Source organism: Homo sapiens, chromosome 5 (assembly GCF_000001405.40).
Source record: "Homo sapiens chromosome 5, GRCh38.p14 Primary Assembly".
Classification (NCBI taxonomy): domain Eukaryota; kingdom Metazoa; phylum Chordata; class Mammalia; order Primates; family Hominidae; genus Homo; species Homo sapiens.
In genome coordinates, this window is record NC_000005.10 from 146,333,246 (window position 1) to 146,347,112 (window position 13,867).

The 13,867-nt window shown below is 51.6% G+C and overlaps 2 protein-coding genes across 2 annotated transcripts in view, besides 3 other annotated features; both read left to right on the forward strand.

Annotated features, from left to right (window-relative positions):
- The window catches only part of RBM27-POU4F3 (RBM27-POU4F3 readthrough), a 138,124-nt gene extending 129,641 nt beyond the window's left edge, over positions 1-8,483 (forward strand). The window contains exons 19-20 of the mRNA NM_001414499.1: positions 5,858-5,987; positions 6,303-8,483. Coding sequence (NP_001401428.1) covers positions 5,858-5,987; positions 6,303-6,313 — 141 coding nt within the window. The 3' untranslated portion in view covers positions 6,314-8,483. The remainder of the gene's footprint in view (positions 1-5,857; positions 5,988-6,302) is intronic.
- Positions 5,594-8,483, forward strand: POU4F3 (POU class 4 homeobox 3). Its single transcript, NM_002700.3, has 2 exons — positions 5,594-5,987; positions 6,303-8,483. Exons 1-2 carry the CDS (start codon positions 5,868-5,870, stop codon positions 7,197-7,199), a joined length of 1,017 nt encoding a protein of 338 aa, NP_002691.1. The 5' UTR covers positions 5,594-5,867; the 3' UTR covers positions 7,200-8,483.
- Positions 7,378-7,578: a silencer, noted in NCBI's record as "peak5522 fragment used in MPRA reporter construct". NCBI's record gives its function as "represses an SCP1 promoter by STARR-seq MPRAs in K562 erythroleukemia cells {active_cell/tissue: K562}" and the evidence as "EXISTENCE:reporter gene assay evidence [ECO:0000049][PMID:32103011]".
- Positions 11,194-11,707: an enhancer, noted in NCBI's record as "H3K4me1 hESC enhancer chr5:145724002-145724515 (GRCh37/hg19 assembly coordinates)". NCBI's record gives its function as "activates a minimal SCP1, AML or CMV promoter by ChIP-STARR-seq in naive H9 embryonic stem cells {active_cell/tissue: H9 hESC(naive)}" and the evidence as "EXISTENCE:reporter gene assay evidence [ECO:0000049][PMID:30033119]".
- Positions 12,221-12,733: an enhancer, noted in NCBI's record as "H3K27ac-H3K4me1 hESC enhancer chr5:145725029-145725541 (GRCh37/hg19 assembly coordinates)". NCBI's record gives its function as "activates a minimal SCP1, AML or CMV promoter by ChIP-STARR-seq in primed H9 embryonic stem cells {active_cell/tissue: H9 hESC(primed)}" and the evidence as "EXISTENCE:reporter gene assay evidence [ECO:0000049][PMID:30033119]".

Below are 13,867 nucleotides of genomic sequence, written 5' to 3' on the forward strand. Positions count from 1 at the left end.
CTGCTGATGACACAGATATTCTCAAGTCTAGAGCTCAAAGATGAACACACAGCAGGACCTATGGGTGGAGGGGGGAGAATAAAACAGCCAAGCACTGAATGTAGGAAATGATTAGAAATAGTCTCCTCAGCAACGGCACCTCAGATCCAAACAATTGATCCTGATTCTCCATGAAGCGGTAGAATAAATCCAGAAAAGTTGGGAACCTTTTTCTTCCACTCTGGATCTTGACAACCCAATTCCTGCACAGCCATCAGAAAGCTCCCAGTTCACTCACTACACTCCAGCCATTCGAGCCTTCTTGCTCTTCCTTGAACTTCCTGAGCTGGCTCCCACCTCAGGGCTTTTGCCTGTGTTGTTCATTATGTCTTCCATTTTATCCTTCAGGCCTTGGCTCAAAGGTCACTCCTTCCTTTTCTACTCATATATTCTCGATTCCAGCGCTCTGGTTTATCTTCTCTGTAGCAATTATCACTATCCAAGGCTATCTTTTTTATTCCTTACCTTCTGCAGAAGCCTCAGCTCCATGGGGGTATGAGGGGCTGAGGTGAGTGGGAGGTGGGAGTGAAGTGAGTGGAGTGAGGGGTTGTCTGTCTTGTTTATAGCTAAATTCCTATCTCCTATCATGGTGGCTGCCTTATAGTTGCCCAATAAATATATGTTCAGTGAAAGAATGTAACTGGGAAGGTGTATCAGAGATCCCTCGGCTGGGTCCACTCATTTTTTCAGATGGGGAAACTGAGGAGGCAAGAACCTGTTTGGAGTCCTACTGCCTGAGTCCCAGGGCTGTGTCCATGGCGGGGCATCTAGGGGGAAGGGGAGGGCTCCTGGCACGTGCCGAGCCCTCACGGACGCTCGGCCTCTGGCCCCTGAATCCCTCTGGGCGTCTCGGATCCTCTGAGCCACTTTGCAGACAATGCAAGGCAGCGGCCAACAGACGAGTCCCGCAGCAGCTGCGCAGGCGGCGAGTACATGTGAGAAGTTTGTGAAAGGCGACCAGAGAAAGGGAGAGGAAGGCAAGTCAGGCGGCTGCGAACACCTGGCCAGGCAGCCCCGCCAGCTGCCTCGCTGCGCGATGGCATCTTGAGTTCGGGCCCTCCTATCGGGGCCATATCCCATTCCACCCTCCCTGCCCCTTTTCCAACTCTCCAATGTGGGGCTTGGGAATGAAGGTGGGTGGGGGTAGCTGCTGGCTTCTCCAAGTGCAACCTGTGCCCGGAAGCATGCCTGGAGCCTGGCCAGCCTCCGGAAGCAAGAAGAGAAGTAAAACCTGCTCACCCTACTCCCTCGGACCCTGGGCTTGGGAGATGGGATAACTAGTGCCAGCCCAGGATGTTAGTTAGGACTAACCTGAGCTCCAGAATCAGATAAACCAAGGCTCCCTTCCCCATGCTACTACTGCCTAACTGTGTGGCCTTGGGCAACTTACTTAGTCTTTCTATGCCTCCTTTTTTTCATCTGTAAAATGGGGATAATGATATCAACCTCACAGGCTTGATTTGGAGACTCAGTGTACAACACTTCCAAAGCATCTAGCTCAGAGCCTTGTACATAGGAACCACTCCATAAATGGCCCTTCTTGTCACCATCATCATGGACACCCCCCTGGCCAGAGTTCATTAATTCAACATGAATTACATCAAGCTCTTAATGTTGCCTGGCCTGTAGACATGGGCACTGGAAACACAGACAGTTCTTCAAGGAGCAGAGATCATAAAACACCACGTTCTTACTAAGAGATAATAAGGGAAGATGCAAAAGACATTGGAAGCTCAAAGAAGGAAAACTCTCTTTGAGTCTCCATGAAGCTTACATAATTAGGGCAGGATTTTAAAATAATAATAATAATAATAATAATAATAATAATAATCCAAGTGACAAGGGTATAGACTAAGTTTTTCAAGTTCAGAGTCCCAGATCCTCTGCATCCAAAATCATGGATGTCTATTAAAAAGCACGTTAGTTTTTGAGGTCAGCATCTCTGGGTGTGGGCCTGTGGTGCTGTATTTTAAGAGGTTGCAGATGATTCCTACACATACTAAAATTGAGAACCGCTGGCACACAGGAAAATGCATCTGCCCCCAGGCCCCTACCCCCTTTGCATCTCTACAAGGCTAGTCCTTCTGGAGGATATGGTGCTTTGTGCCCTGACTTCACCTTACATGTGGCAAATCTATGTCCCTACTAGACTCTGAGCTCCTGAAGCAGTGTCTTCTGTATCTTCAAGGCCTTCCACAAGACTCTGCTGTTAGTAGGTATTTGGAAATGCTTATCGAATGGGGAAAATTCTTCCTTCAATGCCACTTGCATAAATGCCCACATAGTCCTTACATGGACCTTCACATATTTTGTTTGGCCCATAAATGGTATGAGTGTGTGTGTGTGTGTGTGTGTGTGTGTGTGTGTGTGTGATTGTAATTTAATGCCATGGTGGTGGGGGGGGGGGTGGGTAAGTGCTCTCTAGTTTACCACAGTTTCAATCTTTCCTTTTATCCACCCAGATAAAGTTGCTCAATTTTATTTTACTAGTTTTGCACCTTATAGAATTTAAGTTTACAAATTCTGGAAAGCATAGAGGCTGTTACAAATTGCCGTCTAAGGCTGTCCTTCCAATTGCTTTTTCTATGGTCTTTTCCCTCTTTTCTTCTCCAGTCTCCAGTCTGTTATCTCCAAGGCCTTCTCAAAAAGACTGGTCCTTAAGGATGGGTGTTGTCTTACCGCTGGCTGCCTAGAACTGCCAGTAGACCTTCTTAGAGGGGAAGATGGGAAAAACCCTAAAACACATGGGACCAGACACAGGTGTGTTTCTTGATGTGTGATCCTAATGCCTGGGGATGCTGGAGTAGGGGCTGGTAAGGTGAAGGTCAACATTGGAGGCATGTGAGGACCAGTTAGTTTTGCTCTGTTTCTGACTCATGCCTGACCTCTATGCTGGCCAGTATCTCCCAGACCCCTGAGAGGACAGAGCAGAAAAAGAGAATGGATATGAATCCTTTCTCTCCCAGTTTCTAGGGGTTCAGCTTCACAGACAACTAGGGTATTATGGAATGATTATGGGTCTCAGGGCATCATGGGACCAGGCAAAATACAGACCAGTGTATCCCTGTGTTTCATTCCCCTTTTCCCTTTGGGCTTCCAGCATTGGGAAGAAAACAAAGACTGGTCTTAAATCCTAGTGAGTGATAAAATACTGCATTCAGCTCTGGGGAGTTGAGTGTCTCTGGAGATAAATTCCTGACATGCTCAAAGTATGTTTCATTCAAATTAACCAGAATGATAGTCTTGTTAAAGCTGGAAGTCTTGTTAAAGCTTAGCAATCATCTTATACAGCCCACTCCTTGTAGGTAAACTGAGGTCCAGTCAGGGTCACCCATACTCCGTGTCAGAATGCAGCCCCAAATCCAGCCCTCCTGCAGCCCATAGTTCTGATGTGTATTCTGCACTTCTAGAATCCTGCCACCCTTATGCTCTGTGTCTTGTTCATGAATCTACCTCCCTTCTACTGCTTGGCAAGTTTAGAGTTAACTTTCTGAAGTGAATATTAGACTGGTGACTCCTTGAGTGCCAGGATGGATTCTGATTCACATCTGTGTCCCAGCCTTTGGCATGGGGTCTGGCACAATGCAGATGTTGGGTGAATGGAGAGCAAGGATCCACAGTATGCACGTGCAGACAAACCGGGTTCCAGGAGGATGACTTGGCCCACCCCCACTCTCACATGCTTTCTCTTTAAGTTGAGGAAGAAGAGAGGAACATGTATTCAATGATATCAATGCGCCAGGCACTGTGCCATGTGCTTATCCCAGTGCATTCCTCACAACAATCAATGGGAAATAAATGATCACCCCCATTTTACAGATGGGGACACCGCAGTACAGAGAAGTTGAGAATATCTCGTGGTCTCAGCCAGCAAGAGGCAGAGGCGCATTTTGAATCTGAGGCCAGGGCCTGAGCGCTATGGCACCAGGTTGTGAGGGAGTTTACTGAGCACCAATTTCGTGGCTCAATGCTTTTCTTCTTACCCTAACTCTGAACGTCTTCACCAGAATCCAAGGAGGCAGACAGTAGTGCAATTCCATTTAAGAGCCGCCGAAACCGAGGCTCAGAGGGCTTTAGCGAAAGGGTTGCGCTTGGCTCTAGGCACCTGGGCTGAGTCTTTTTCCCACCATCGCAGGGCGGGAACCAGCGGAGGGGGCTGGCTCGGATGGGGAGAAAAGCAACTGGAGGGCGCCGAGGGGAAGAGGGAGCCCGGATCTGTCAGGGCGTCCTCTTGGACTAAGGGATGTTCCCCTAAACCACACCACCCCACCTCGTTCAGATTCTGGGAAACCCGGCACGCACATACCCTGCACAATAACAGGCAGGGTGAGGTCTCTAAGCCCCGAAGATCGCTCTCTCAGCGGAGGCAGTGGCCCTGACGAGGGGGTACAGCTGCACGCGCGGGGTTTCTCTCCGAACCGGAGTGCAGCGTAGTCGAGGTCCAGGATTCCCCATCCATTATTCACGATGTTTACTAGAGCGGGGCAAGGGAGAGGAAAGAAGAGGGAAGTAGAGAGAAAAAGAGGCTAGGGGAGGTGGAGGCGGGCAGTGCTAACCTCGAGAGCCCTCAAGTTCCGAAACTTTGAGAAGGAAGACCAAGAGGCTAAGGCGCCTGGGAAGCAGCAGGCCGTCAGTAAATATTTGTAAGATGGATGGATAACTGGGTGAGTGAGTGAATGGGCTAATCATTAGCCCCTCTGATCCTTGTTTTCCTCATCTGTAAAACGGGATAACATCACCTACTCCATACGGTGGGTATGAGAATCCCATGGGCAAACTCTAAATTGTCTAGCACATATTAGGAACTCTTAAACGGTAGCTGTTGTCACGAGGAATGGGCTTGCAAGCTCTGGCTGCCCAGCAGAAATGCACTGAAGGACTCCCAGGCCTGGAGGGCCATCCTGAACAGTCGCTATTCTAAAAAAAATACTCCACAAGCTTCCTTAGACGGGAGGGTTGGAGGAAGAGTGGGCCAAGTTACATCCCTCAAATGAAAGAAAGAAAGGCAAGCGTGGGGAGGAAGCCACCCCGGACTGAGAAGGCAGTTACTGCCCCTACCTCTACCCCGGAGCGCGGTTGAGGGAGGTGGGGCAGGGGTCACCTGGGCCTCGTTCTGGCAGCCCCTCACCCTCTCCAGGGCCCGTCTGGGCGCTTGGAGGCGCCTCCTCGCTGCGCCGCGGGACCGGACTCTGGTGGACAGCTTGGGCGTGAGGCCAGGAGCGCCCTGGAAATGGGCAGTTTGGCGGCAGCCGGGCCGACGGAGTGTGTGTGTGTGTGTGTGTGTGTGTGTGTGTGTGTGTGTGTGGTGGAGAGGGGAAGTTGGAGTAGGGTCAACTTCCTGCCCCAGCTCAGCCCAGGGCTACCCTTTTATCCAGGCAGTTCGAGCTGGGACAGGACGGAGAGGTTGGGACTTTTGGGGTGGCATGGGGGAAGGGAAGTCCACGAAGAAGAAAGAATCGGAAAGGTCTGGCGGGTTGGAGCCAGCGGGGCGGGGCGGACTGGGAGAGGCCAGGCCAGGCCCGGGTATAAAGGCTGTGGAGGGGGCGGCCGCCGCGGGCGCAGAAAGGCGCGCCGCTAGCTGCTGTCTCTCCTCACCTCCCGGGCCGCCCCTGCGAGTCCCCGGCGCGTGAGCACGCCTGCGCGCGCCCGGGCCCTTCCTGGCAGGCTGCTTGTAAGATGAGTGAAGAAGCAGGTGGGGGAGAGGGGAGGCAGCGAGCGAGAGGGCGAGGGGAGCGCGGGCGCTGAGCAGCGCTCACTTGGAGAGCGGCAAGCAAGCTAGACAAGCCTGATTCCATGTCACCCGCTGCCACCCTGCCAGGAGCGCGAAGATGATGGCCATGAACTCCAAGCAGCCTTTCGGCATGCACCCGGTGCTGCAAGAACCCAAATTCTCCAGTCTGCACTCTGGCTCCGAGGCCATGCGCCGAGTCTGTCTCCCAGCCCCGCAGGTACGTAGTGGAGCATAATTACCGCTCTAAGGCACATTTTTTGACAGGCACTAGCTTCATGTTTTTTTCATGTCGCCCAGAACAATCGCCGCTGTCTGAACCCCTCTCCTTGTCTCCCCCGCGTTCTCTCCCGGCGCGCTCTCTCTCTCATTCATGTCTCTGATCCACACGTCTGTTCCAGCAGAGCCGCTGCCTCCGTATTAATTTTTATGACCTGGGCTTTGAGGAGAGGCATCTCGGTTGCTTGAAAATGTGTTTTAATCCTGTGTTGACAGTATTCCCTACTGACCGTGCTGTGCGCCTTCTCGCTTGCAGCTGCAGGGTAATATATTTGGAAGCTTTGATGAGAGCCTGCTGGCACGCGCCGAAGCTCTGGCGGCGGTGGATATCGTCTCCCACGGCAAGAACCATCCGTTCAAGCCCGACGCCACCTACCATACCATGAGCAGCGTGCCCTGCACGTCCACTTCGTCCACCGTGCCCATCTCCCACCCAGCTGCGCTCACCTCACACCCTCACCACGCCGTGCACCAGGGCCTCGAAGGCGACCTGCTGGAGCACATCTCGCCCACGCTGAGTGTGAGCGGCCTGGGCGCTCCGGAACACTCGGTGATGCCCGCACAGATCCATCCACACCACCTGGGCGCCATGGGCCACCTGCACCAGGCCATGGGCATGAGTCACCCGCACACCGTGGCCCCTCATAGCGCCATGCCTGCATGCCTCAGCGACGTGGAGTCAGACCCGCGCGAGCTGGAAGCCTTCGCCGAGCGCTTCAAGCAGCGGCGCATCAAGCTGGGGGTGACCCAGGCGGACGTGGGCGCGGCTCTGGCTAATCTCAAGATCCCCGGCGTGGGCTCGCTGAGCCAAAGCACCATCTGCAGGTTCGAGTCTCTCACTCTCTCGCACAACAACATGATCGCTCTCAAGCCGGTGCTCCAGGCCTGGTTGGAGGAGGCCGAGGCCGCCTACCGAGAGAAGAACAGCAAGCCAGAGCTCTTCAACGGCAGCGAACGGAAGCGCAAACGCACGTCCATCGCGGCGCCGGAGAAGCGTTCACTCGAGGCCTATTTCGCTATCCAGCCACGTCCTTCATCTGAGAAGATCGCGGCCATCGCTGAGAAACTGGACCTTAAAAAGAACGTGGTGAGAGTCTGGTTCTGCAACCAGAGACAGAAACAGAAACGAATGAAGTATTCGGCTGTCCACTGATTGCGGCAGGGCGCAGCGTCGGGAGCCGGGAGAGCCTAGTGCTCATCCCTCCCGGGTTCGGGGGATGGTTATCGGGAACTCCAAGGCGTTTCCTAGGCAGGTTAGGCTCTCTCCTCCGAAGCCACAGACTTTCCCCCTTTGTCCCGCCTGGTTGCCTCCGGCCTTCTCTCTCTTTCCTTTCTATTCCCACCAAAAAAATTTTGGCGCTGGGAAAATATTGCAGAAGGGCGGGCCTGAGTGTACTTGTGCTGTCCGTGGTGCTGAAATTTGCCCTCGCGCAGGGGCCGCACGACTTCAGAGCAGGAGCCCCAAAGCAGAGGACAGTCAATTGGCCCAACCGCCCGAAGCTAGGGTGAAAATGCCACTTTGCTAAGCGCGATTAGGCAAAGGGTGAAGGGATAAAAAGGAAGTGATCAATAATAACACAAAGTCTAGGATATCTAAGGGGGACACAAACATGCACTGGAGATTTATTAGAGTATATAAAATACATGTATGTTTCCAAAGGATAGCCTTATACTCCCTTCCTTGCCTAAATTCTATTCACCTTATCCTTTGGTTTGGCGTAAATTCTCATAAGGTAGCATGAAGATTAGGTTCAGGGAAAGTATGCAGGGAGTTGCGGGCTCCAAGTTGCCATTTTTTCGTGGTAAGTAGGGCTCCAAAACAGGTGGGCCCAGTCTGGCGACTGAAAATTCTGGGATCGCTTGGCTGTTTGTAATCAGCTGCCAGCACCAGCTCTGGCCATCTTTCACTACCTACTGGTGTTTGAGGGGTAATTACTGCTTGCTGGAGAGCGGGAGTTTGTAGTATTCATAACCGTTGAGGACTCTCTGACCCCAGCTCGCTGCTCTTGCCAGATTGCCAGCTCAGCGTGCAGTCGGCTGCTGGAAAACGACTGTAACTTCTCTGCATTATATGCAAGTCCTTTCAACACGTCTAACCTCCTTGCACTTTTGTTATTACTGTTGTTGTTAACATCGTTCATTACTATTATTTATTTAATTCTGCTTCTTTCCATTCCCTTTATGTGGGTGTCTTTCGGTGGAAGTTCACTTATAGTTTTGTGAGGGAAGAGGAGTGGGACCATGGGCCTGAACCCTTCTCACCCTGCCCCTCTAGCCCAAATTTTATTTTATTTTTTCGTTGTTTCATGTAGTTTGTGTGTTGCTGTGTGACCTTTGGTTTCATTCTCTGAATAGATACAAATAAAATATTAAGTTTTCTTTTCCCTTTACCCCTTGAATTAACTTCTAAAATAAATGCTTTATTTTTCAACCCGAATCAAAGTGGTTTTATTTTTTCTCAGAGGCTAAGGGGTACTAGCTTTGAAAAGGATTTAAAAAGGAGAACCCCAAAGGGTTGGGCTGTCAGTTTCTGCTGCCCAGCCCCCAGCCATCCCTTCTCCCCACTCCTCTTCCATGGCAGACTCACTTGGAGCTCCTCGTGGGAGACCCTGCGGCTTGTGTCTGAACTTGAGGTTTCAAGGCACTTCCTTCCATGCTTCCCTGCCTGCCATCATGAGACTCTGCTCAATTTGACTTAGCTAGTAAACTTTGAAGCCGGACTAATAGAAATTCGAGCCTCCAATGCCTCTGCTCACTGGCAGAACCATCCTGAGGCTAATTTCTTAATTTCTCTAAGCCTTCTCCAACAAGATTGCTTGTCTGCAGAATGAAGGGACCAACGCTTATTTCACAAGGTTATTGTCAGGACTAGGTGAGATTGTTTATTTAAGACGTCAACTAGTGCTTGGGTTTTGTAGGCAACAAATTATTTTAAAAGATTCAAAGGGCTTGAAAGGAGGTGAAATAATAGAGGCAAAGAGGGAGAAAAGTGTTCGCTGGGACACTCTAGTGGGACCCACTCAGAGTTCCAAATTCATCTGAAATTCTCATCCAGGTTGTTATTCACTCTGGGGTCCACCTCGGCTTCTTTGTGGGGGTACTGCTATAACTGCTGCAAAGCGCCTAGCATAGTGCCCTGTACATAGTAGGTGCTCCATAGACGCCAGCTCCCTGTTCTCTTTACGCTCCCTCTTTTTATTTGCGAGCTGTAGAAACGCCTTCCTGATTTAAAATTTAATGCTCCAAGTCCAGGAGTCATCTGCACATTTCCCTGCTTCGTCCTCAAAGAGTTGCGGGTCATCAAACCACGGGGCCGAAATTCGGAGCAGAGTGGGTTTGCCCTCCGCGCAGTGCGACACCCCCTACCGCATAAGCTAACTTGCGGATCTCCCCCAGCTCCCTGGGCCTCAGCCCTTTACCCCCGCCTTGCACAACAGCCCCAGCGATTCCTCCACCTCCCTCTCCATCGGGTGTCCTTTAATAATAAATGCCCTTATGCCATTACATTATATTGTGGGTTTTGAAAATTTAAAATACGGCTGATGCAATATTAATTGCCTATAGTGGTATAAAACACAGGGCAGGAGCCCAGCCGGGCTGCAGAGGAGACAACCGTGAGCGTCCCGCGCCGAAGCGAAGCGCTCCAGAAGGACGCGCTTTTGCGGGCTGCAAGGTTTCCTGCAGGTAAGAAGAGCCTTCGCATGTTCGGGCTCTGGAGAGAACCGGAAATCTGCCTCCATCCTCTTTTCGAAAAGTTCTCTGCCGTTATTTATTTAGTCTTTTTTTTTCTTTTAATTGACAACTGCAAAAGTTTGGGAGACTTTTACGGAGAGGATGAGAGGAGCTGCCTCCTGAGCGCAAGGTCTGCTCCAAGACGGTCCAGTAGCACTAGGTCCAGTCTCCGAGCCATGCCTCTGAGCCTAGTCTTCTTCAGGCGCCTGAGACGGTGATGCGCAGGAGTATTTTCACCAGTTCCTACGTGCAGGCCGGAGCTGCAGCCCGGTCAGCGAAGCGCTCCACCCTTTCCCTCCTCCTGAGTGCGCCGGAACGGCGCCGTCGCCTCACTCTTCGGCTTGCTTCAGGAAGCAACTGGAGATGTGGTTTCCCCAGGATTGTGTAGTCGCCTTTGCCACTCGTCTGGCGGAGGCACAGACCTCTCGGGGGAGGGGAGGTGGTACTAGCAGGTCTGGGGTTTACACAAGGCTAGTATGCATCCGAACCGTGTGACCTTGGACAAGTCATATCGCCTCTCTAAGCCTCTGCTGCCAGCTGTAAAACTTCCCCAAATTTATTTTGAAGAGTAATTGAGGGTGTTTCCTAAGATCACCTGGAGCAGGTTTTCATTTTCCTAATTCTGTCAGCTTGCAACACGTACGGTCCAAGACTCAGCTGAGAGTTTCTTTAACTTGTACCAAGAGAAAGTGAAGTCAGTATTTGGGGGTGTTTGCATGGAAACCTGCATCGGGCCTCCGGAGGGTGGGACTTTGAGAACTACCTGGCTGGAACAGGGGCTTCATCTAGAATGAGCTAGGCATACACATTCCAGCATGACTAAAGCCCTGGTAGGCAGAACTTGGTGGCAGGAGTCCTGGGCTCCTGAACGGTGTTATCTCTGGCCAGCGACTTCCTCTCTGTGTGCCTAAGTAGTCTCAGTTTTGTTCACTACTTCATGTCCAGCACTCTGCTCAAGGTCTGGCCTAGAGTGGCAGACACTAGATGTCTGTTGAATGAATGAATTAGGTTTTTGTTTTGTAAAATGAAAGCACCCCTTCCAGCCGAATCCCCTCTGGATTCAAGGGACTGTAGGGAGGAACAGAGCCATCAGGGATAGGCAAGTCTCCCTGGGAATGGGGATCGGGGCAAGGCGGTGGTCTGCATCACAGGCTTTCATTCAAGGTAGCCAGTGTCCTTCTTGTTTAAATAGAAGAGACTGTGCTTCACCCTTTGGTGGTTATGGGTACACAGGGGATGCTCTGTGACATGGCCCTTGGAACCTAGAGGAAGAGCCAGGGAGGGGGGACCAGGGAGTGACCGCTGCCCTGCCCAGTGTGCCTGACGTTTGAGTTCCAGTTCTTTTACTGTCCTCCTGAGATGGAAACAGCTCCGGCTCTGGAATGGACACACCTGGGGTGGAATAACTGCTCCATCTCTTACTTAAGTGACCTTACTGCTCTGACCCTCAGTGTCCTCATCTGTAAAACTGGAAAAACTGGAAAAAAGACTCTCTCAGGATTGCTCTGATGATTAAATGAGATCACGTAAGGCCAGGGCCTGACACATAGTAGGCATTAATAGATATTTCGTTGCTTTAAAACATTTTTTGTACTCAGAAAAGTGAAGGCACTGTTGTGGGGCAAGTTCAGGGCTTGGAGTCAAGTGGAATCAACATTTTCCCTCTGTGAGCCACAGTCTGGTCAGGGTAGCAGTGCCTATCAGCTCTCGGAGTGGTTGTCACGGGCAAGACGGAAGCTTAAAAGAAACCGCTTTGCACACTGTGCGTCCCAGCTACGCAAGGAACGAAGTATTCTCTCCCTGGGAGTGCCTGGTGCGAATACATAGCTCCCACTGAGAAGCTTGGCCCCGGTCAGCGGCTCCAGGAGCCCGGAACCTCCTCCCTGGCGGAATCCCGGGCACCATTCAGCCTTTTCGAAGGCTCCAGACTTCGCGCTGCTCCTCCTCCCGAGGAGGGGCGGGGCGCCAGAGGGCAAAGGAGAAGCAAGGGTCTTGGACTCCTCCTCCTTCCCAGCGAACATCCCTTCCCCGCCCTGTTCCCACTTTTTGGCCCCGGCGCCAGAATGTTTGAGCCGAAGGGGCAGAACGCCTAAAAGCCGTGTTTGTTTATTTATTTATTTATTTATTTATTTTTATTTTTTAAATCGAAGAAGGCAGTGAGGCCTAGAGAGCAGGACGGACTTAGCTGGCTCCTTTTACCTAAAACAGCTCTTCTCCAATCACGTTATCACACCGCCCGTTTTATTTCTTTCCTAGTCTTTAAGACTGCCTGATAGCACCTACCCAGTTCACCCCTGCCTCCCTGAACTCAACGCAGGGCCTCGCACAGAACAAGCGCTCTACAAATGTTTGCTGGATAAATGACTAGTGATGATATCTAAAACGTATGGCGGGATTCCCCTATGCGAGGTACTGTTCCAAGCGCTTTAGCGCATTCGTTTGTTAATTCCTAAACAACACCATGAGTAGGTACAATTTTTAATTCCATTTTACAGATGAGAACATGGAGGCATGGAGAGTTTATGTAACTTGCCCAGGACAAGTCATGAACACAGCCATTTAGTGGAGAGACCTGGCAAAAACCCGGTGCCTTTGCTTCTTCCGTTCTCAAGTGAGATCACCTCTGGCTGGGGTGGGGAAGCGGACCGCCTGGGAGTGAAGGAGGAGCAGGTGAGTCCGATTTGGCACCAGATTAGGCAGCGCGAGCAGAGGAGGTGGTGGGAGCCGAGAACGCCCGCTGTCCTCGCCGGGCTTCGGAGCCTCCACGCCTTTGTGTCCCGCGCGCCACTCGCGTCTCCCGTCCTGTCTGTGTGCGTCTGTTCGCGTGTCTCTCACTCAGCCCCTCTTAGCTTCCCTCCAGCCTCGCGGGCGCGAAACTCTGGCCCCCATGTGCCGGAGCGAGGGGGCCCGCGTCCCCGGGCGCGCGCAGAGTCGCCTTCCCCTCTTTCCTCTCTTCCGCAGAGCGGCGGGAGCCCCCGCGGTAACCCCGCCCCGGCGGGCAGACGGAGCCAGCGAGGACCCCGGCGGACAAATTAGTCTCCCCTTCGATCGCTCTTTTCCGATCAAGTCAGGTTTCCCCTGTTCCCCCGACGGCGCTTCCGCACTAGCGCGACTCCCAGGGCTCCCCGGCTGGGTCAGGGTTCGCCCGCTCCTCCCGGCGCCTCCGGATAGGGGCTTCCCTTCGGCTGCGTCCCGGCCTGAGGAGTCCCCTGGACCGCGGGAGGGGCGATTGCCGGGTCCGCGCGGCTCAGAATCCTCCCCACGCGTTGCTTATACCTTTCTTTGTAAACTGTCAGATTTCTGCCCCCTCCCTCAGTTCAGCCCTGCGCAGCCTTGCCTGCCACTGGAGGCAAACTGGGACAGAAACTGCGCTCGCTCTCTTTTTATAGACTGTATATGTAATTTAATATTTAAAAGATTTTGAGTTTTAGGATTACACACACACACACACACACACACACACACACACACACACACACACAAATTCAAGTGTTCATCCTGGGAAAAGTCAGATTTTTGTTGGACTTCTTTATAGATATTTAGCATTTAATATTATTTTTACTTTGAATTAAATGGGGTGGGAGGCACCACCGTAATTTCATTGGGGTCTCTGGCCGAATCCCTTCTCTAATTTCACCATCTTTCTTTCCCCCACTTTCCTTCCCGCTCCCTCCCAAAACACACATCAGTCCTGCTCCAAATCCCAACATCCGTGCCTGTGACAGAGCCTCCCCCAAGGCCTGAGGCTTAGCTAGGCTGCTCACCTCTTGGCAGATATAGTTAATGTCCAGCCCTCATAAATCAAGACCATAAAAAGCTTACTTTCATATGCACTCAATTTCTACCAAACCTAAACTAATTGCATAAATTCCTTTAGGCCACTCAGAGCTGCTCTCTGGGTTGGGATCTGATCAATTAGTCATTAGGCACTCCATTAGCTGGGGTTTAAGCTGCCTCATATAAATGTCTCCTGTCAATTTGCTTGTAATTGAATAAATAAAAAGGGTATAATTATTAGCACAGAGGATCAAAATAAGGAGAGGTCAATTTTATTCAAATATCCTTAAAATGTCTTAATCTAATAATCAT

Excerpts from the sequence above, each read along its gene's own strand:
- POU4F3 (NM_002700.3), top strand. The coding sequence starts at position 5,868 with ATGATGGCCATGAACTCCAAGCAGCCTTTCGGCATGCACCCGGTGCTG. Across the intron at positions 5,988-6,302 it reads TCTGTCTCCCAGCCCCGCAG|CTGCAGGGTAATATATTTGG; the intron begins GTACGTAGTGGA and ends TCTCGCTTGCAG.